The following is a 21,315-nucleotide window of genomic DNA, read 5'->3' on the forward strand; positions in this document are numbered from 1 at the left end:
AAGGACACTAGTTAAAATGACAAGTTATGATTGTCGTGCATATTGTCATTTCTCCTATATTATTTCGAATGATGTGAGAAAAGTCTGTTTGGCTGGTGCTCGATTTAATTCTTACTTTTACTACTGTCAACCATAAATGTAACAATTTACAGCAAGGAGTTGGCAAACTACATCCTGCAGACCAAATCCAGTCTGTTGTCAGTTTTTGTATAAGTTGTAAGCTAAAAATTATTTTCACACTTTTAGAAGTTAAAAAAATCAAAAGAAGAATATTTTGTGACATATGAAAATATCAGTGTCCATAAAATTTTATTGTAGCACAGACACACTCATTCATTTACAGATTATCTCTGGCTGCTTTCTCACTGCAACGACAACAGAATTGAGTAGCTGCAAGAAAGATCTGTCCTGCAAAGCCTAAAATATTTACTATTTGGACCTTAGCAGAAAAAAATTGCTGACCTCTGATCTACAAGAAATCATGTTTCACAAAGATTCTGAAGTCAACAGGTAAAGCAAAATCCTTAAAACTCATAAATTTCAGTGTACTACTGACTCTCAGTAAGTCCAGCACAGCTAGTTTTTCATTCAGCATGGGAATAAATTGTTATTTCTTAAATTGAATACCAGATGAAAAAGTGGATGCATATCTATGGACTATGTTCACTGTGTGTATGAAAAATATATAGTCTGTCTTTCAACATTTACTGGGAGAGACATAGGAACTGAGTGAGACCAATGGAGAGAACAGCAGATTCTTCCCCATCACTCCGAGTACACAGAGTCACTAGTAGAATGTCAGGTGAGTCACCTACACTATTCATTCTCTCTCCCTCTCTCTTGTTCTCACTCTCTCCTCTCTCCATTTGATTTGATTTATCTATTTATTTTATGAGGAGGAGAGCAGTGAGTGTTTATAGTAGAAGGCATGTGAATCAGATGTACATTTGAAGCAGCTCCACCAGGTATACTAAAGAGTTACAAGCAATGTATCTTATGAATTGAAAAGTAAACTTATTTTAATACTTTTATGCTTTCTTATATTTTTCTGAACTTTCCAGTTTGTATACAATGAGCAAGTTTAATTTTTATAATCAGAAAAAAAGTCACATGTTTTACTTAATTTCCAAAAACAAAGGTTCACCTACTGTGAGAGAGAAAACAAACACTTCACCTTTGGATCTTTAGCACAAAACTTCATGATATCTCTCCAGTGTCTGTCTACTGTCTGAAATTGACGCCCTTCTTCTGGCATCTGTTGCATGATATCCTCAGAACAAAAGATGGGCTCTAAGTACAGCCATTGAGCTTGTACTTTTAACCATTCATCAATTGTTTCTTGTATTCGAATCAAGCGGTCCTCCCAGGCCTTAATGAAAAGTATACTGCACTAAATTCTAGTTATTAAAGAAAGGCTATAAATTATAGCAAGGAAAATACATTTTAAATTTACTATTATTTTTAAATAAGTGCAAACATCTCACAGCTTAAGGTTACTTATGTATGTCTCACAAAGGCTTAGAAAAATTCTAAGAGGTCTGAAGTTTTCCTAAATCACTGGAACTCACAATTGGAAATGACTGTAACATTATTTTGACCAGTTTCCTAATTTCTCGGTGAGCCATCTGGAGTCCCAAAACCATCCAAGAATATATCCTTCTCTACCAGCAGTGGTTATCAACCACAGGCAATTTTGCCTCCCACCCCAGGGAACATTTGACAATGTCTGTAGACATTTTTGGTTGTCACAACTGATGGGGGAAGATGCTACTAATGTCTAGTGGGTAGAGGCCAGAGATGCAGTTAAACAACCTATAATGTAGAAGACAGCCCCCATCACAGAGAATTATAGAGCCCAAAATATCAACAGTGACAGGTTGAGAAATCCTGCTCTACTCTACATCAACACAATTTGGAGAAAAATGAACTGAAATGAAAAATAAAATGAAATAAGCCTCCTTATTCTCAAGATCCCCTAGAAATGACAAGATATTTCATTAGCTGAAGACCATTAATATAATATCTCTCTTTGGTTCTTAAATATGTGCCTAAGGTCTATGTGTCAAGAGATTGTCTCATATCTTCGATTTTTAAAAAATCTCTACGACAGCTTTTAAATTTGTCTTCTAAATTCCCCTTGTTAGACAAGTAAATTTCTACAAAAAAGTAATATCTTATCAGGAAAGGCTAGGTTAGCCTGCTTCTTGGGATAATGTCCAGCCTTATGTCCTCTTGGAAGAACATTACTCTGTTTTCTCCGAATAATGACAGCCAAAATCTTCTATAAAACAATAAATAAATCTTCTATTTATGCTCATATTAAAACCAAACTGCCTTGGTTTGAACCCCAGCTCTGTCACTTATTAGCTAGATGAACTTAGAAAAATTGCCTATCCTCCTATATGTTGGTTTCCTTGTCCATGAATACAGATAATAACAGTGCCTACTTTGAAGGTCTGCTGCAGGGATCAAGTGGGTTAATAAGTGCAAAGTTCCAGAGCAGCATCTGAAACATAGTTTCAAATCAATTGATATCAGGGTAAAAAATCCAGTTGTCTTTCCCCAATTTATATAGTCCCCAGTTAGGATAGTTTTCATATCCAATAAGATATGAAATAATCTTGGAGCCTCAAATACCATTTGTTTTTCTCAAGTGAACAATAATTCATTAATTACTCTAAAAGATCCTTATGCTAGCTGTTTACAACTATAATTAAAGTATGGTTACTACAAGTTACAAGAATGCAACAAAAAACAGGGTCTAGGTTTTCTAAAGTTAGAATAAGTAATACCACCTGTTTTCCTCTCAAGTCTATCACTGCCATTGGAGAAGATTTTAATAAGACATTTTTCTTTTAAAAATCATTTATGTCTCAGATGTATATATTTCTATATTAAATTTTGAATATCATTTTGTATTTTATGAAATAAAATATCAAAGTTATAGGTCTATGATTTGAATAAACACTTAAAAAACCATCCAATAAGCTACTTATTACCATGAGAGCGTATATGTAATAGGATTGCAATCCGTATAAATGACCAAGAGCTGATTATCACATTTAACATACCTTGATCTCATGTTCAAATGGTTTGATGAAAGGTGAGCCTCTCATTGTCTGAGTTTTTATAATTTGATCATCAAGGATGGCCTGAATCTCATCCACCGAAGAAAGAATACAGACTCCAGTGTCACGATACAGACTTATATGAAAAGCAATATCTTCCCAAGTTCCTATCATTGTATTCATGGCTTTCTCTAATGAAAATTCCTAAAACGGAGGAATGAAGAAAGAACGGGATGGTGAAGAAAGGATCTTATTTACTATATTGACTTTCCCTAGTGAATTCAGTAAGAATTTGATGTATTACATTATCATTTCCTTAAGATAATCTGTGAGTACAGTATAACTTTTTAAGTTAGAAGGTTTTTCAACAATTTAAAAATTCCTAAGAAGAACGATTATGTAGTTTTAAAGAATTCACTTGCTATGAAAACTACTGCTGTCAATATTAAAAATGGACAAGAGAATAAAATACCTGTAGGACTTTCTCTGAAGTGGCCTTTCTATGGCAGCCCATAGTCTGAAGATGTTTTCTGTGTACTTCAAGAACCCATTCTTTAGGGCCATACTTACCCTGCTAGAACACATACATATCACATGCCACATATACAACAGTACTCTTAATGGAAAAATTATGTACCAACACTAGCACATCATCCAACGACATTGGAATGTGGCAGAATTAAGAGGAGATCAAAGGAGTCATTTCTCGTCTGGATTCAGGACAAGTAAGTACACACTTTGGGGGGGAGGAAAGAGTGTTTTGTTTTGTTTTGTTTTGTTTTTGAGACAGAGTTTCGCTCTTGTCACCCAGGCTGGAGTGCAGAGGTGTGATCTCAGCTCACTGCAACCTCCACCTCCCGGGTTCAAGCAATTCTCCTGCCTCAGCCTCCTGAGTAGCTGGGATTACAGGCACCCACTGACATGCCCAGCTAATTTTTGTATTTTTAGTAGGGATGGGGTCTCACCATGTTGGCCAGGCTGGTCTCAAACTCCTGACCTCAGGTGATCCACATGTCTCGGCCTCCCACAGTGCTAGGATTACAGATGTGAGCTACCGCACCCAGCCGGAGAGTGGTCTTCTATCACTCTCCCCCATCACCTCCCGCGCTATCCAGTACTATACACATTCAACCCCAACAAAAACTATGATTACTTGATTAACGAAGTCATCACATAAAGTATTTCAGTTGATCTTTATGTTTACCTTGCTTGCACCTGCACTTATCACTTCAAATTGTTCCAAGTATGGGGTAAGGTTTAATTTTAAAACTTTTCTCAGTGTAGTTCCAGAGTCTGGAGTCAAGTCATAGCCTACAATTTCTGATATCTGTTTCCAGTGACGAGCTCTCATTCCTGGATTGCACAGAATGGAGACAGTAGGAATATATTCCTAATGGCAAAAATATAAACAATTATGAGTCACTCATTTGACTTCCACACACATAGATTCCATAGATGAAGCCTTGATGATATAAGGGTTACATTTCTTCAATTTATTTAATATATTTCTATCAGTACAATCAAAACCTCAATTAGATTTGGAAGGAGAGAGATACTAAGAAAATGAACCTAAAGTTCCCTGCAAAAATAAGCATATAAAAATAGCCAGGAAAATTATAAGAGTAAACAAGAAGAATGAAGGGCCAGGCACAATGGTTCATGCCTGTAATCCCAGCACTTTGGGAGGTTGGGGTGGGAGGATTGCTTGAGCCCAGGAATTTGAGGTTACAGTGAGCTAAGATTGCAATACTGCACTCCGGCCTGGGTGACAGAGTGAGGACTTGTCTCTATTTAGAAAAAAAAAAAAGTATTATTTTAGAAATTCAAATTCATTATATATACTATTTGCAGAAATATATAATATATAGTTATAAACACACATACATAGCATGAATGGGGAAAATATGTGTGCCCAAATCCCAAAATGTAACAATGTTTTATCTCTGCTGAGTGACGCCTGCCTTGGCCTCCCAAAGTGCTGGGATTACAGGTATAAGCCACCATGCCTGGCCCCCTATTTTATTTTTATATGAGTCATGTTTTAACTTTGTATAAGTAATAATTTAATATTGTAAATTTTTTTAATTGGAGGACCATAAACTAGCACACTTTTTGTTTTGCTTAGTTAAGGACTTCGTTTTAACCTTCCATTGGTTATCACCATCATGTTTTTGCTTATCATCACATATTCCCTAGAATTCATCAGAACATAATATAACAGGCACTCAGTAAGTATTTTTTAAATAAGTGAAGTTTTAACATCTAAAAAGTAGAAAGGACATACTCTTTATTTATTTATTTAGACAGAATCTTGCTCCGTCCCCCAGGCTGGAGTGCAGTGATGCGATCTCGGCTCACTGCAACCTCCGCCTTCTGGATTCAAGAGATTCTCCTGCCTCAGCCTCCCAAGTAACTGGGATTACAGACTCCTGAGTAGCCTCATGAGTAGCTGGGTCACACAAAAGTGAAAAAACTCCAAGCAGATGAGCAGACAGTAAGAGAATCGGACTTCCACATCTGCATTGCCCCTCCCTCTATTCTGTCTGGTACCAAGAGGGCAGAAAATTTCCCCCCAACTCACTGTTTCTACCCTGATAAGAGCAAGGTCAAAGTGGACAACCAGCTACCCCACCACCCTGGGTTCCCTAGCAGGAGACCTGCCCTGCCTTAACCCACAGGAAGCAACGCCAGTGCCTGAAGGGATAAATAATTCCTGTGGACAAGCAGAGACAAAGGGAGGAAGTGGCACTACCATCCCCAGCCCTGGAAATGTTACTCTGTAAGCCACAGAAGATGCCAAATCAGAGTGGCTATTCTGCAGCACCACACTGTAGGAGGTTTGTCCCACAGGTCTCCTGGGCACAAACTCCTAGCCAGCTTCCCACATTGCCAGAATATACCCTGTGGGACCGTCCGCATTCATTAAGGGCAGCGCTCCCATCAGGTACTAGACCCAAGCCAAACCTGGGCTTAAGGTGCCACTTGGAGCTGAAAAGGAAGCAGTGACCTAGCGGTAAAGAAACTCTAAGCAAATATATCCAATATAAACCAAAACAAGCCAGACAAAAAACACTGGAATAAATAATACTTCAATGCAAAGACAGATGTACATCCAGCAAAAACAACAGCAAACAGGGAACCATGATCTCCACAAACAGAAGCAGCAAAGAACCAGTAACTGACTCTAACCAGACAGGGATATGTGAGCTCTCTGACCAACAATAAACAACTAAATTCCTAACTAGACTGATCAACAAAAAGGAGAGAAAATTAAAATAATCAATATTTAGAATTAAAAAGGAGTTAGCACTATAGATTCTACAGACATTTAAAAGATAATAAAGAAATGTTATTAGCAACTTTATGGCGACAAAATCAATGACTTAGAAGAAATGGACAAATTCCTTAAAACTACAATCTACCAAAATTAAACACAAAATCTGAATAGCTCCTATATCTATTAAAGAAATTCTCTTTTCCGTCCCCTAGAGGGGGAATTGGCACAGGACTTGCTTCAGCCAATGTAATATGGGTGGATATGAAGTATGTCACAGCTGAGTGGAAGATCTAAACTCAGGTACATGGTTTAGCTCAGCCCTTGCTCTTTCTCTCTAACGCGAGATTGGCCCACATTAGCTCAGGACATAGCCTGTGTCCTGGAAGTTAGAAAACTCAGGAGCAGAACAAGACTGCAACTGGGAGCAGAGACTTAGCTAACCCGTGGTCCTCATGGAATATGAAGAAGAAATAAATAAGTACTTGAAAAATATATATATAGAGAGAGTCTGTTTTAAAAACCTTTCCTACAAACAAAACGTCAGGCTAAATGGTTTCATGAGTGAATGTTTCTCTAAAATAAGAAAGAAATAATATCAATTTATAAAAAAACTCTTTCAGAAATAGAGAAAATAAAACTTCCCAATTTGTTTTATAAGGCCAACATAACCCTGATACCAAAATCTGACAAAGACATTACAAGAAAACTAAGACCAAGATCCTTCCTGAACATAACCTCAAATATCCTGAATGAAATATGAACAAATAACAAACTATAAGAGTATTAGAAAAAAATATTTTGACATGGGGAAGGCATTTTAAACTACAGTTCAGAACCCAAGAGCCATAAAGGAAAAGAATAAAAATAATTACATAAAATTAAAAGGGTTCTGCAAGGCAAAAGCTATCATAAGCAAGGTCAAAAAGCAAATAATAAATATTCACATCACAGACAAAGCCTAATCTCCTATATATACAAGAAAAGAAATCAATAAGAAAAAGGTCAATAATTCAACAGAAAAATAGGCATAGGTAAGTTAAAACAGTTTACAGGAAAAGAAATATAAAACACTCTTAAATATATGAAATATATGAAAATATGCTTAAAATTTTACTTGCAGTAAGAGAAATGAAAATTCTCCTAGTAGAGTAGCAAAAACCTAAAGTTTGATGATATTTTGTTATGAAGGTTGATGAGAGTATATATTGGTATAACTTCTATGGAGGGTAATTCAACTGTAGATTTTAACCTGGCATTTACTCTTCCACAATTTACCCTGCAGTCACACCTTCAAACACATGCAATTCACACACACACACACACACACACACCAGATTAGTCATACATTATATAGGTGTGAAAAAAATGAAGAAGCTCCCTATATACAAGAAGAAAAGGTCTCCAAGATAAATTAAGCAAAACAAAGAAAGAAAATAATATACATTGTATGCTACACTTCATGTAAAAAGATAGAAGGATAAGAATATATACTCACATTGTTATATATGTAATAAAACTCTGGAACTATACACAAGAAGGTAATAACATTGATCACCTGAGTTATACAGGTGAGAACCATGAGGAGACTTTTCAGATGTCTCTTTTTATATTTTTTAGACCACGCAAATGTATTCAACATTGAAAATAATTTTTAAGTTAAAAAAATCAGACGGCCATGGAATCTCTGAGATGAATAGACATAGACAGGAACAATGCTTGAATCCAATCACAGAGTTTGCACTCTGGGCATGCTGACAGTGGAAATTTAAGGATGTATTACTGACTGTCAAAAAAACTGTTCTTATTCTCTCTTTATAAATGAGAGGACCGAGGCACAAGTGGCTAAATATCTTGCTCAAGGTATGCCACTGCCAAGTGGAGAACTGTGCTATAACTAAACAGTGTGGTTCCAAATCCTTCCCAGTAAACTGTTACCCTGTGTTGCTGCACTTAGTATAGGCTAAGTGGTCTGACCTAGTAAACTTATGCCCTTATTTTTTTTTGAGACAGGGTCTTACTCTGTTGTGCCCAGGAGTGCGGCAGTATAATCATAGCTCACTGCAACCTCAAACTCCTCGGCTTAAGTGATCCTCCCACCTCAGCCTCCCGAGTAGCTGGGACTTCAGGTGTAGCTGAATTTTTTTTACCGTGCCTGGCTAATTTTTTATTTTTTGTAGAGGTAGGGTCTCACTATGTCACCCAGGCTGGTCTTGAACTTCTGGCCTCGAATGATCCTCCTGCCTTGGCCTCCCAAAGCACTGGGATTACAGGTTACAGGTGTCATCCGCTATACCCAGCCTGCTTCCAAACCTTTCTATTTCTCTTCATTAGCACTTGATGATGAGAATAGCTCTATCAAGGTTTTTTTGAGTAATTTTGGAGTCTCGCTCTATTGCCCAGACTGGGCATGCAGAGGCATGATCTCGGCTCACTGCAACCTCTGCCTCCCGGGTTCAAATGATTCTCCTCCCTCAGCCTCCCAAGTAGCTGGGATTACAGGTATGCACCACCATGCTCAACTAATTTTTTGTATTTTTAGTAGAGAGGATTCACTATATTGGCCAGGCTGGTCTCGAACTCCTGACCTCAGATCAGGTGATCTGCCTGCCTCAGCCTCCCAAAGTGCTGGAATTACAGGCATAAGACACCATGCCTGGCCTTGAGTAATTCTTAAGATTCAGAATCCATAGGTCAACAATTTCTCTGGACTCAAAAGCCTTCATCTAAGCATTTTGCAAATGCTAAAATTTTTTAATGTATTCATCTAGAAAAAGTAGTTATAACCTCACTTCAAAGTTTGGATTATGCTGAATTAATGGTAGGCTATTTTATTATGTTTGTTTAGTTTTATTATAGTAAATTATAAACAATGGTATACTCTTCCTATGTTTTCCATAGGAAAATGACTTAGTGTCATTTTCAGGAAGTATGCAATCTGCCCTAATAGGTCTGAGCAATCTTCTACTGCCTTTCTTGGGCCAGAGGAATTCTTTGCCCCAGTTTTGCCAGATCTGGCTTTATATGTGTATTCTCCTTGATCTGCCCCAAATATGGCTGCCATTCACCACCTAACCAGCCTTTCCTACACTCCACAGTGGTGCTTCATGATGAGGAGCTAAAGTTGTGGGAATGAGACACCAAAACATCAAAGATGCAAACAGATGTAATTCAAAAGATGAGAGGAATAAAATGCCCTCTCTTGCCCTTACCACTTCCTCCCAAAACCAATCACTCAGCTCTGTCACAAGTACCCATGCCTAGAACAGAGGTGGGAGTGAATACATTAAAAAATTTTAGCATTTGCAAAATGCTTAGATGAAGGCTTTTGAGTCCAGAGCTTGACCAAGAGGCTGAGGCATAGCAGAGGAATTTAAAATCTTATTTTTTTCTGATTGTTTCTCCTCAGTACCTTCATTTGGCCATACTCCTTTGATTACAAGTGACAGAGACCCAATTCATTAGCCAAAGGGGAAGAAATAGTGTCTTATTCTTGAGCCTAGGAGTCTGAGGCTGCAGTGAGCTATGACTATGCCACTGCACAGTCAACAGAGTGAGACCCTATCTAAAAAGTAATAATAGGCCAGGTGTGGTGGCTCATGCCTGTAATCCCAGCACTTTGGGAGGCCAAGGTGGACAGACTGCTTGAGCACAGGAGTTTGAGACCAGCCTGGGCAACACAGCAAAACCCCATCTCTTCAAAAAATTAGCCAGGCATGGTGGTACACACCTGTAGCACCAGCTACTCAGGAGGCTGAGGTGGGAGGATCGCTTGAGCCCAGGAGGTGGCAGTGGCAGTGAGTCACCACTACACTCCAGCCTGGGAAATAGAGCAAGACCCTGTCTCAAAAATTATTAATAATAATAAATAATAAACATGTAAAACCAGAAGATAGGCTTTATAATTTATATATTAGGTAACAGAAAAGTTGAGAAGATAGCTATAATATTAAAATGTTATTATATATATTTATACCTTAAAAGCTTTTATCTGTTCCATGACTGTACTGCACATAGTAATAGTAGCATTGTCTTTTGGTTCTTCTTCAATTTTCTCTTCTTCCAAAGACCGTTTTCTTGCTGCCTTTCTTTTTTCTTGTAATTCTTTCTTTAGCTTCGTTTGGAAAAATTTTAGTGTCTTAAAAATTTCTCGGGAAAACTCTTCCACATCAGCCTCCATGCTTTCCCCATTGAGGTCCAAAAACCCTCCATCCATCCACCTGAATGGAAAGAAAAAATATTATTAAACTCAGACTTTTGAAGTTTGAAGGGGCCTTAGAGATCCTTTAGGCTAGACCCCTTGTTTTTTAAGAGAGAAAAATGAGGGCAAGAGCTGTTAACAGTTTTTCTCAGGCACACAGGTAGAGCTGATGGTAGAAAAGACAGAACTAAAATAATCATTTTGACTATGCTGCATGTGCTAAAATATGTATCAGATTATAAATGGATGATTAACAGTACCCACATAAAATGCAGGTTCACATTAGAGAAATGCAAATCAAACCACAATGAGAGACCATCTCCCATCAGCCAGAATGGCTATTATTAAAAAGTAAAACAAAAAAACAAAAAACAGATGCTGTGGAGAAAAGGGAATGCTTATACACTGTTGCACTATTGATGGGACTGTAAATTAGCTGAGCCACTGTGGAGAGTAGTTTGGAGATTTTTCAAAGAATTTAAAACAGAACTACCATTTGACCCAGCAATCCCATTACTGGGTATATACCCAAAGGAAAATAATCATTCTGCCAAAAAGACACATGTACTCGTCTGTTCATCACAGCACTATTCACAATAGCAAAGACATGGAGTCAACCTAGGTGCCCATCAACAGTGGATTGAATAAAAAAAATTTGGTACATATACACCATGGAATACAATGCAACCTTAAAAAAGGATGAAATCATGCCCTTTGCAGCAACATGGATGCAGCTGAAGGCCATTATCCTAAGCAAATTGATGGAGGAACAGAAAACCAAATACCTCATGTTCTCACTTTGAAGTGGGAGCTAAGCCCTGGGTATACATGAACATAGAGATGGGAACAACAGACACTGGGAACTACTAGAGGTGGGAGAGAGGGAGGGGAGCAAGGGCTGAGAAACTACCTATTAGGTGCTGTGCTCACTACCTGGGAGATAGGATCATTTGTACCCCAAATATCAGTGTCATGCAATATACCCACGAAACAAACCTGCACATGTTACCGAATCTAAAATAAAAGTTGAAATTATAAAACAAAAATAAAAATAAAATGCAATTTGACTCCATACTTCTAATTTTGGGGGTAAACATTAGTGAAATTAATCTATTGTATTAAAAAGGGAATTGACTCTCAGAAACCAAAATGACAACTCATATATTATATATATATATTTTTCATGTCAGAAGGGTAATGTGCCGACATTGTAACAACGTTTGAGGGAGGCATATCTCTCACACATGAGCATGAAAATCCAATCATTATGCTCATAAACCAGAAAAGGATCTCAGATATTGTATTAGTAAGGTTAGTGGGACCTTAGCAGCACTGGATGTTTCTCCTACATGGTACCTGGTTCTCTTTCAAATGGACATATAAATCCTACTTTTAAACACTTAACCAAAAAAAAAATCAATTTATATTTTACAAATTATTTTCTATCATTTGCTTGATTTTTATTACATTACCAGCAATTACCGTTTTTCTGATCGCTGCCACTTCAAAACAAAATTAAAAAACTTCTGATAGGGCTCAATGTTAACTTTTAATTTATCCAGTTCAGGATATTTTGTCAATTCCCACTTGAAAAGTTCCTCTTCTTTATTAATAAACTGCACTGCTTCTTCAGATTCCTGAATACGTTTTTGTAGTTGTCTTACATCTGTCACATACTGAAAGTAAATAAGTTTTTTGTCTTAAAAAAAATTCAAGTAATGTTATAAAAATAAAATCCTATGATACTGTGTACAATATGTCCTTGTATTTATACAACAAGTTTATTTTTAGGCTGGAGTGCAGTGGCGTGATCTGGGCTCACTGCAACCTCTGCCCCGCTGGTTCAAGTGATCCTCCCACCTCAGCCTACCAAGTAGCTGGGACTACAGATGCGGACCACCACACCCACCTAATTTTTGTATTTTTAGTAGAGACGGGGTTTTGCCATGTTGGCTAGGCTGGTCTCGAACTCCTGACCTCAGGTGATCTGCCCACCTCAAACTCCCAAAGTGCTAGGATTACAGGAGTGAGCCACTGCGCCTGGCCTATACAGCAACTTTAAATATTAACTTCACAACATAACTATGATTGAGAGCAAAAGGTACAATTATGTCTACTCTACAAATAGAGAACTGAGTCACAAGAAAGATAACATAGTTCCAGTTTTGGGCCTAAGAGTCAGGTCTTTGTTTGCCAGCCTGGGCAACATGGCAAAACCCCATCTCTACAAGAAAATACAAAAAATTAGCCGGGCATGGTGGCACATGCCTGTTAGTCCCAGCTACTCAGGAGGCTGAGACTACATATAAAGTATTTAAATACATATTTATGTATTTTACTATATATTATAGTATTAGATAAATATATATGTATATATGTAATATATAGAAAAATATAGAGTAAACATAAAAAAATAGTAAACATATTTTTCTATACTTTTAAATTTATGTTAACATGTCCTATATGACTCTATGGGCTGGCCATAGCTATTGTCTCATATATTTATCAGACCTGTTGCATGCGCTCCAGCTCTGCAAATTCTGTAAACTCCTCCATGCGGCGTGATTCTTTTTCTATTTCCAAAATAAGTTTCTCTCTCTTGGCCATTAGTTCATTTTCTTTTTTATGTTTAGCATTCTCAATTAGCTTTTTAAAAGACAATTTGATCATGTTAGTTAATCTGTAACAAAGAATTATCAAGTCAGAAATCCAAATACTGTGTATAATAATAAAAACCATCAGAGAAGTAAAAATGAGTACAAAAATAAAACAATGCCTATAATTACTAATATAAAAATGCAAAGAATAAACCACACAGAAAAACATTCCTAGATCTCCAAAGTGACTTTAACAACTTGTATTCATTAATTAAATGCTTTATTTAACAGATTCTAGGATAATAATAAAATTACCATTTATTGAGCATGTGCCATGTATCAAGAACTATTAAATATCTTACCTATATTATTACTGGTATTATTATTCTCATTTCAGAGAAAAGAAATTGAATCTTATGGAAGTCACGTTCATGTTCACAAAATCATAAAAATCAAAATCTGGATTAGAATCTTGGTTTATCTGATTGAAGGCCATGCTTTTTATTACAATACCATCTTACCTCCCAATTCAGGTTAAACTGATTTACATTAGGACTTTTTCAATATCTGAAATATATTCAGTCTGATATAAAATTGTAAATTTTATCACTGTGATATTGAACTATTTAATTTCTCTGAGTCTCATATTTCTCATCTATAAAATGGAAGAAATGGGAGCATGTGGGATTTTTATGAGAGTTAAATAATTGAATAAATGGAAAGCACTTTCTCAGTTAAGTGTTTCTATTATTAATTTATATAATAGTTCTGACTTTCTAAATGTCAGCCCCACTACTTACCAGACCTTGTGAGTTAAGCCTAACAGCTTGTCTTAAGCCTAGAGGGCCATAAGTGTGGCCAGTCTCAAACTCATATTGACACACAAAATTACTTTTAAAGTTAGATGGCCAGGAGATATGAAAATTAAATGTGAATGATGTGCTTGAAATGTCAGATTACAAAAATACATACTGAAAAATATATTTACCTCATCATTTTCATCAAAGATGGGATTAATTTTCCTAGGCCACATGAGGACAGTTGCATTTAAAGCTAAGTCTTCTTGAGGAAATAGGAAAACATCTAAAAAGTAACTCATTTGGCGTTTAGATTCCTACAAAAGAAACTCTGGATATAATATGTCATATAGAAAATCTACATCATTATGAAAAAGAGAAGAACCAACAACAATCTCTAATACCCTTTCAGATTTCAGTTTGACTCAGATTATTAACTGATATTTTATATATCACCCAAACCAGATGGGTATTTCAATAGCTGCAGTATTATTTATCTTGCTTCATGCCACATAATTGTATACTTTTATGCTAGAAATAAGGCTTTTAAAAAGTTTTCACTTACAGTTGATTTAGCATAAAGGAACTTTTGGTCCTCCCTTGTTTATGACTGAAAAATATAATTAAATCTTCAGAAGTCCTTTAATTTTGATTTTAAAGGATTTTAAATTATTTTATTCTTATAAATATTTTATTTTTGAATCTTTGATGACAAAGATTTTAGTATCTTTTCTTTTGTTTTGTATCTTCACTGACATCACCACCTTTTTGGCCTACTTCACATGTTACTGTATGCAATAGTCTAGAATATTGCGGTATGTAATAGTTCAGAAAGAGTTGAAGGTGAGTTGGCCAGGTACGGTAGCTCACACCTGTAATCCCAACACTTTGGGAAGCTGAGGCGGGTGGATCACCTGAGGTCAGGAGTTAGAGACCAGCCTGGCCAACGTGACGAACCCCCATCTCTACTAAAAATACAAAAATTAGCTGGGCTTGGTGACGCACGTCTGTAGTCCCAGCTACTTGGAGGCTGAGGCAGGAGAATTGCTTGAACCCAGGAGGTGGAGGTTGCAGTGGGCCGAGATTGTGCCACTGCACTCCAGCCTGGGCGACAGAGTGAGACTCCGTCTCAAAAAAAAAAAAAGTTGGAGGTGAGTTGCAAAGAAAAAAAACTCTTAAAACAATAGATTATCTGAGTAGATAGGTTGAATATTTTTACCCTCTATATCTTTCATTGCTCTATAAGCTGTACTGTAGTACTAATTTTTAAGAATTGAAATACAGATTCAAAGGCAAATTTGAGGTTTTTGATTTTATATTATACATATGTATACATATATATACATACATCTATATATATAATATAGATATAAAATTATGTATTGAAAATAACATTAAATATGTATTTTGTACATTCTATATATTATGTATATACAATGCACATAGAAATAAAACTTTAAAATAAAAAGCAATCCGTGTAATTCGTTATATTAATAGATTAAAGAGAAAAAGCATATGATCAACACAGTAGATGCAAAAAAGCATGTAGTGAAATTCAAAGTCCACTCATACTAATTTTTCTTTTCAAAAAACGTAGTAGCACATCAGCAATAGAAGGGAATTCACTAATCTGGCAAAAGTACCTGTATAAAACCTACAACAAATGTCATACTTAATAGTGAAATCTTGAAAGCTTTCCCCTTAAGGTTGGGATAAAGATGGGAAATCTGCCATCCACTGCTATTCAACATTGTACTAGAGTCCCAGACAGTCCATTGTTGCAAAGAAAGTAAAGTTTTGCAAATGTGTAACATTTGATCAGGAAAAACAGAACTGTCATCATTTGCAAGTTATATAATGGTATATGAAGACATTCCAAAATAATCTTCAGATAAACTATTAAAATTAAGAAGAGAAATTTAAAATATATAAAAATATTAAAGTTAAAAATTTTTTTTTGAGACAGAGTTTCACTCTTGTTGCCCAGGCTGGAGTGCAATGGTGCAATTTCGGCTCACTGCAACCTCCGCCTCCCAGGTTCAAGCGATTCTCTTGCCTCAGCCTCCCAAGTAGCTGGGATTACAGGCATGTGCCACCACGCCCAGCTAACTTTTTGTGTTTAGCAGAGACGGGATTTCACCATGTTGGTCAGGCTGGTCTCAAACTCCTGACATCAGGTGATCCACCCACGTCGGCCTCCCACAGTGCTGGGATTTTAGGCATGAGCCACTGTGCAGGGCCTAAAGTTCAAATTTTTAAATAGAAAATTTTAAAAGAAAAATTGAGCAATGGGTATTAAATTAGTATATAAAAATAAATTTTGGTCGAGCATGGTAGCTCACGCCTGTAATCCCAACACTTTGGGAGGCCAAGTCGGGCAGATCATGAGGTCAAGAGATGGAGACCATCCTGGCCAACATGGTGAAACCCCGTCTCTACTAAAAATACAAAAATTAGCTGGGTGTGGTGGTGCTAGCTGGGCGTGGTGGCGCGTGCCTGTAGTCCCAGGTACTCAGGAGGCTGAGACAGGAGAATCTCTTGAACCCGGGAGGCAGAGGTTGCAGTGAGCTGGGATCGCGCCATTGCACTCCAGCCTAGCGACAGAGCGAGACTCTTTCTCAAAAAAAAAAAGGCCAATGGAACAGAACAAGCTGCCTCAAAACAGATCTACACATATACGGACACAGTGGGGATGGTCTCTTCAATAAATATGTATTTGCTCATCTATATGGGAAAATATTTAAATTGGACCTCACATTATTTACAGAAATACATTTTCAGGATTGAAACCTAAATCTCAAAAGCAAAACTAAACAGCTTCTAGAAAAGGGTGGAAGAAAAATGTCTTTGAACCAAGGTAGGAGAGGATTTCTTAAATAAAACACAGAAAGCACTAGGTATAAAATAAAATACTGCTCCATTTAACTGCACTAAAATTAAGGCAACATGGCAAGGCCTTGTCTCCAACAGGAAGAAAGAAAGAGAGAAAGAGAGAGACAAAGAAAGAAAGAAAGATTGCTCCATTTATTATAAAATAAAAGACTGCTCCATTTAACTGCATTAAAATTAAGGACTTCTGTTCATCAAAAACACCATTAAAAAGTTAAATTACAGAGTGAATAAAAAGATACCTAATAATATATTAAAAATTACTACATTGAACTGTATACTTAAAAATGGTTAAAATGGTAAATTTTGTGTTATGTTCATTTTACCACTTTTTTAACTGCTACAAATCAATAAGGAAAAGGTACATAACCCAAAAAAATAAATGAGCAAAATGTATGTACTATCATTTCACAAAAGAGGCACTCCAAATAGCCAATAAGCATATGAAAAGTGTTCAAATTCATTTCTTTTTAGGAAAATGCAAATTGAAAATACCATAACTTTCACCCAATAGACTGGCAAAATTTAATCCATCTCACAATTGCAAGTAAGAATGTTAAAATAATAGACACTTTGTGCACTGCTAATAGGAGTCTAAAACTGGAACTACTTAGAAAAGAATTTTGCCTTAATTAGTAAAGGTGAATAAAAGCATATCTTATAACACCTGGAAGAAATGAATGAATGTGTGCACTGGGATACATGTGTTAAAATGTTCACAGAAGCATTGCCAGTAATATCAAAAGCAGAAACAACCAAATATCCAGAACAGTAAAATTTTTAAAATAAATTATTGTATACAATGTGGAATGGATACAATATGGAGTGGAATACTAGACTGCAATGAAAATCAGCTAAAGTTTAGGAACAATGACATTACTAACATAACATTGATGAGAGGCAAAAGAATATAAATGGTATGATTCCCTTTATATAAAGACCAAAATCAGAAGAAATTAACTATATTGATTAGAAATGCAAGTTTAAGTTGTATAACTATAAAAAAAAACAAGGAAGTAATCACTATAAAAATCAGAATAGGCCAGGCGCAGTGGCTCATGCCTGTAATCCTAGCACTTTGGGAGGCTGAGACGGGCAGATCATAAAGTCAGGAGTTCGAGACCAGCCTGGCCAATATGGTGAAGCCCCGTCTCTACTAAAAATACAAAAATTAGCCAGGCGTGGTGGCGGGTGCCTGTACTCCCAGCTACTCAGGAGGCTGAGGCAGGAGAATCACTTGAACCCAGGAGGCGGAGGTTGCAGTGAGCCAAAACCTCACCACTGCACTCCAGCCTGGGTGACAGAGCGAGACTCTGTCTCAAAAAAATAAAAAATAAAAAAAATCAGAATAGCACTAACATCCAGAAGACAAGGGATTATGATGGGCTTCTAGAGCGTTGGCAAGGTTCTATTTATTTTCCTAGGTGGTAATTACTGGCTGTTTACTTTAGAACATTCCAAATTGTACAATTCATGTTTTACGTAATTTTGGTATATGTGTTGTTTAACATTTTTAAAAGTTTCTTAAACAAAGAATAAGAGTAAAATATAGGTAAATAGGTACATCATCTTGTGCTGGAAAAGGTAAAAACATACTATTAAATGCAGAAACTATAAAAGAAAAAATATTTTTAAAAATCTATATTGTTTAAGGACATACACAAAATTAGTGAAACTAAAGAAATTCAAAGCTAAGGGGGTGGAGCCAAGATGGCCAAATGGGAACAGCTCCAGTCTACAGCTCCCAGTGTGAGCGACGCAGAAGATGGGTGATTTCTGCATTTCCAACTGAGGTACCAGGTTCATCTCACCGGGGAGTGTCGGAAAGTAGGTGCAGGTCAGTGGGTGCAGCGCACTGAGCATGAGCCAAAGCAGGGTGAGGCATCGCCTCACCTGGGGAGTGCAAGGGGTCAGAGAATTCCCTTTCCCAGTCAAAGAAAGGGGTAACAGACGGCACCTGGAAAATCAGGTCACTCGCACCCTAATAGTGCGCTTTTCCAACGGGTTTAGCAAACGGCACACCAGGAGATTATATCCTGTGCATGGCTCAGAGGGTCCTACACCCACGGAGCCTCACTCATTGCTAGCACAGCAGTCTGATATCAAACTGCAAGGCAGCAGAGAGGCTGGGGGAGGGGCGCCCGCCATTGCCGAGGCTTGACTAGGTAAACGAAGTGGCCGGGAAGCTCGAACTGGGTGGAGTGCACGGCAGCTCAAGGAGGCCTGCCTGCCTCTGTAGACTCCACCTCCAGGGGCAGGGCACAGACAAACAAAAGGCAGCAGAATCCTCTGCAGACTTAAATGTCCCTGTCTGACAACTTTGAAGAGAATAGTGGTTCTCCCAGCATGCAGCTGGAGATCTGAGAATGGACAGACTGCCTCCTCAAGTGGGTCCCTGACCCCCGAGTAGCCTAACTGGGAGGCACCCCCCAGTAGGGGCAGACTGACACCTCACACGGCCGGGTACTCTTCTGAGACAAAACTTCCAGAGGAACGATCAGGCAGCAACACTTGCTGTTCACCAATATCCGCTGTTCTGCAGCAACCGCTGCTGATACCCAGGCAAACAGGGTCTGGAGTGGACCTCCAGCAAACTCCAACAGACCTGCAGCTGAGGGTCCTGACTGTTAGAAGGAAAACTAACAAACAGAAAGGACATCTACACCAAAACCCCATCTGTACGTCACCATCATCAAAGACCAAAGGTAGATAAAACCACAAAGATGGGGAAAAAACAGAGCAGAAAAACTGTAAACTCTAAAAATCAGAGCGCCTCTCCTTCTCCAAAGGAATGCAGCTCCTCACCAGCAATGGAACAAAGCTGGACGGAGAATGACTTTGACGAGTTGAGAGAAGAAGGCTTCAGATGATCAAACTACTTTGAGCTAAAGGAGGAAGTTCGAACCCATGGCAAAGAAGTTAAAGACCTTGAAAAAAAATTAGACGAATGGCTAACTAGAATAACCAATGCAGAGAAGTCCTTAAAGGACCTGATGGAGCTGAAAACCAAGGCACAAGAACTACGTGACGAATCCACAAGCCTCAGTAGCCGATTCGATCAACTGGAAGAAAGGGTATCAGTGATGGAAGATCAAATGAATGAAATGAAGCTAGAAGAGAAGTTTAGAGAAAAAAGAATAAAAAGAAATAAACAAAGTCTCCAAGAAATATGGGACTATGTGAAAAGACCATATCTACGTCTGATTGGTGTACCTGAAAGTGACGGGGAGAATGGAACCAAGTTGGAAAACACTCTGCAGGATATTATCCAGGAGAACTTCCCCAACCTAGCAAGGCAGGCCAACATTCAAATTCAGGAAATACACAGAATTCCACCAAGATACTCCTCGAGAAGAGCAACTCCAAGAAACGTAATTGTCAGATTCACCAAAGTTGAAATGAAGGAAAAAATGTTAAGGGCAGCCAGAGAGAAAGGTTGGGTTACCAACAAAGGGAAGCCCATCAGACTAACAGCTGAGCTCTTGGCAGAAACTCTATAAGCCAGAAGAGAGTGGGGGCCAATATTCAACATTCTTACAGAAAAGAATTTTCAACCCAGAATTTCATATCCAGCCAAACTAAGCTTCATAAGTGAAGGAGAAATAAAATACTTTACAGACAAGCAAATGCTGAGAGATTTTGTCACCACCAGGCCTGCCCTAAAAGAGCTCCTGAAGGAAGCGCTAAACATGGAAAGGAACAATCAGTACCAGCCACTGCAAAAACGTGCCAAATTGTAAAGACCATCGAGGCTAGGAAGAAACTGCATCAAGTAACGAGCAAAATAACCAGCTAACATCTTAATGACAGGAACAAATTCACACATAACAATATTAACCTTAAATATAAATGGGCTAAATGCTCCAATTAAAAGACACAGACTGGCAAATTGGATAGAGTCAAGACCCATAGTGTGCTGTATTCAGGAAACCCATCTCACGTGCAGAGACACACTAGGCTCAAAATAAAGGGATGGAGGATGATCTACCAAGCAAATGGAAAACAAAAAAAGGCAGGGGTTGCAATCCTAGTCTCTGATAAAACAGACTTTAAACCAACAAAGATCAAAAGAGACAAAGAAGGCCATTACATAATGGTAAAGGGATCAATTCAACAAGAAGAGCTAACTATCCTAAATATATATGCACCCAATACAGGAGCACCCAGATTCACAAAGCAAGTCCTTAGAGACCTAGAAAGAGACCTAGACTCCCACACAATAATAATGGGAGACTTTAAAACCCCACTGTCAACATTAGACAGATCAATGAGACAGAAAGTTAACAAGGATATCCAGAAATTGAACTCAACTCTGCACCAAGCGGACCTAATAGGCATCTACAGAACTCTCCACCCCAAATCAACAGAATATACATTCTTCTCAGCACCACACAGCACTTATTCCAAAATTGACCACACGGTTGGAAGTAAAGCACTCCTCAGCAAATGTAAAAGAACAGAAATTATAACAAACTATCTCTCAGACCAC

The 21,315-nt window shown here is 37.6% G+C and overlaps 1 protein-coding gene and 1 non-coding gene across 10 annotated transcripts in view; both read right to left on the minus strand.

The window, feature by feature from the left end:
• DNAH12 (dynein axonemal heavy chain 12) overlaps positions 1–21,315 on the minus strand; it is a 262,335-nt gene that overhangs the window by 164,718 nt on the left and 76,302 nt on the right. For all 9 annotated transcript variants that reach the window (XM_047447667.1, XM_011533468.2, XM_047447668.1 and 6 more), the window contains 7 exons: positions 14,129–14,254; positions 13,055–13,189; positions 12,026–12,219; positions 10,319–10,562; positions 4,273–4,458; positions 3,072–3,272; positions 1,175–1,369 (listed from right to left, as the gene is read on the minus strand). In XM_047447667.1, the coding sequence (XP_047303623.1) occupies positions 1,175–1,369; positions 3,072–3,272; positions 4,273–4,458; positions 10,319–10,562; positions 12,026–12,219; positions 13,055–13,189; positions 14,129–14,254 (1,281 nt within the window). The remainder of the gene's footprint in view (positions 1–1,174; positions 1,370–3,071; positions 3,273–4,272; positions 4,459–10,318; positions 10,563–12,025; positions 12,220–13,054; positions 13,190–14,128; positions 14,255–21,315) is intronic.
• On the minus strand, positions 11,728–11,833 carry LOC124906353 (small nucleolar RNA U13). The gene has a single exon (XR_007096320.1). It is a non-coding gene; the product is annotated as a small nucleolar RNA U13 (small nucleolar RNA).

This window comes from Homo sapiens, chromosome 3 (genome assembly GCF_000001405.40).
Source record: "Homo sapiens chromosome 3, GRCh38.p14 Primary Assembly".
Classification (NCBI taxonomy): Eukaryota; Metazoa; Chordata; class Mammalia; order Primates; family Hominidae; genus Homo; species Homo sapiens.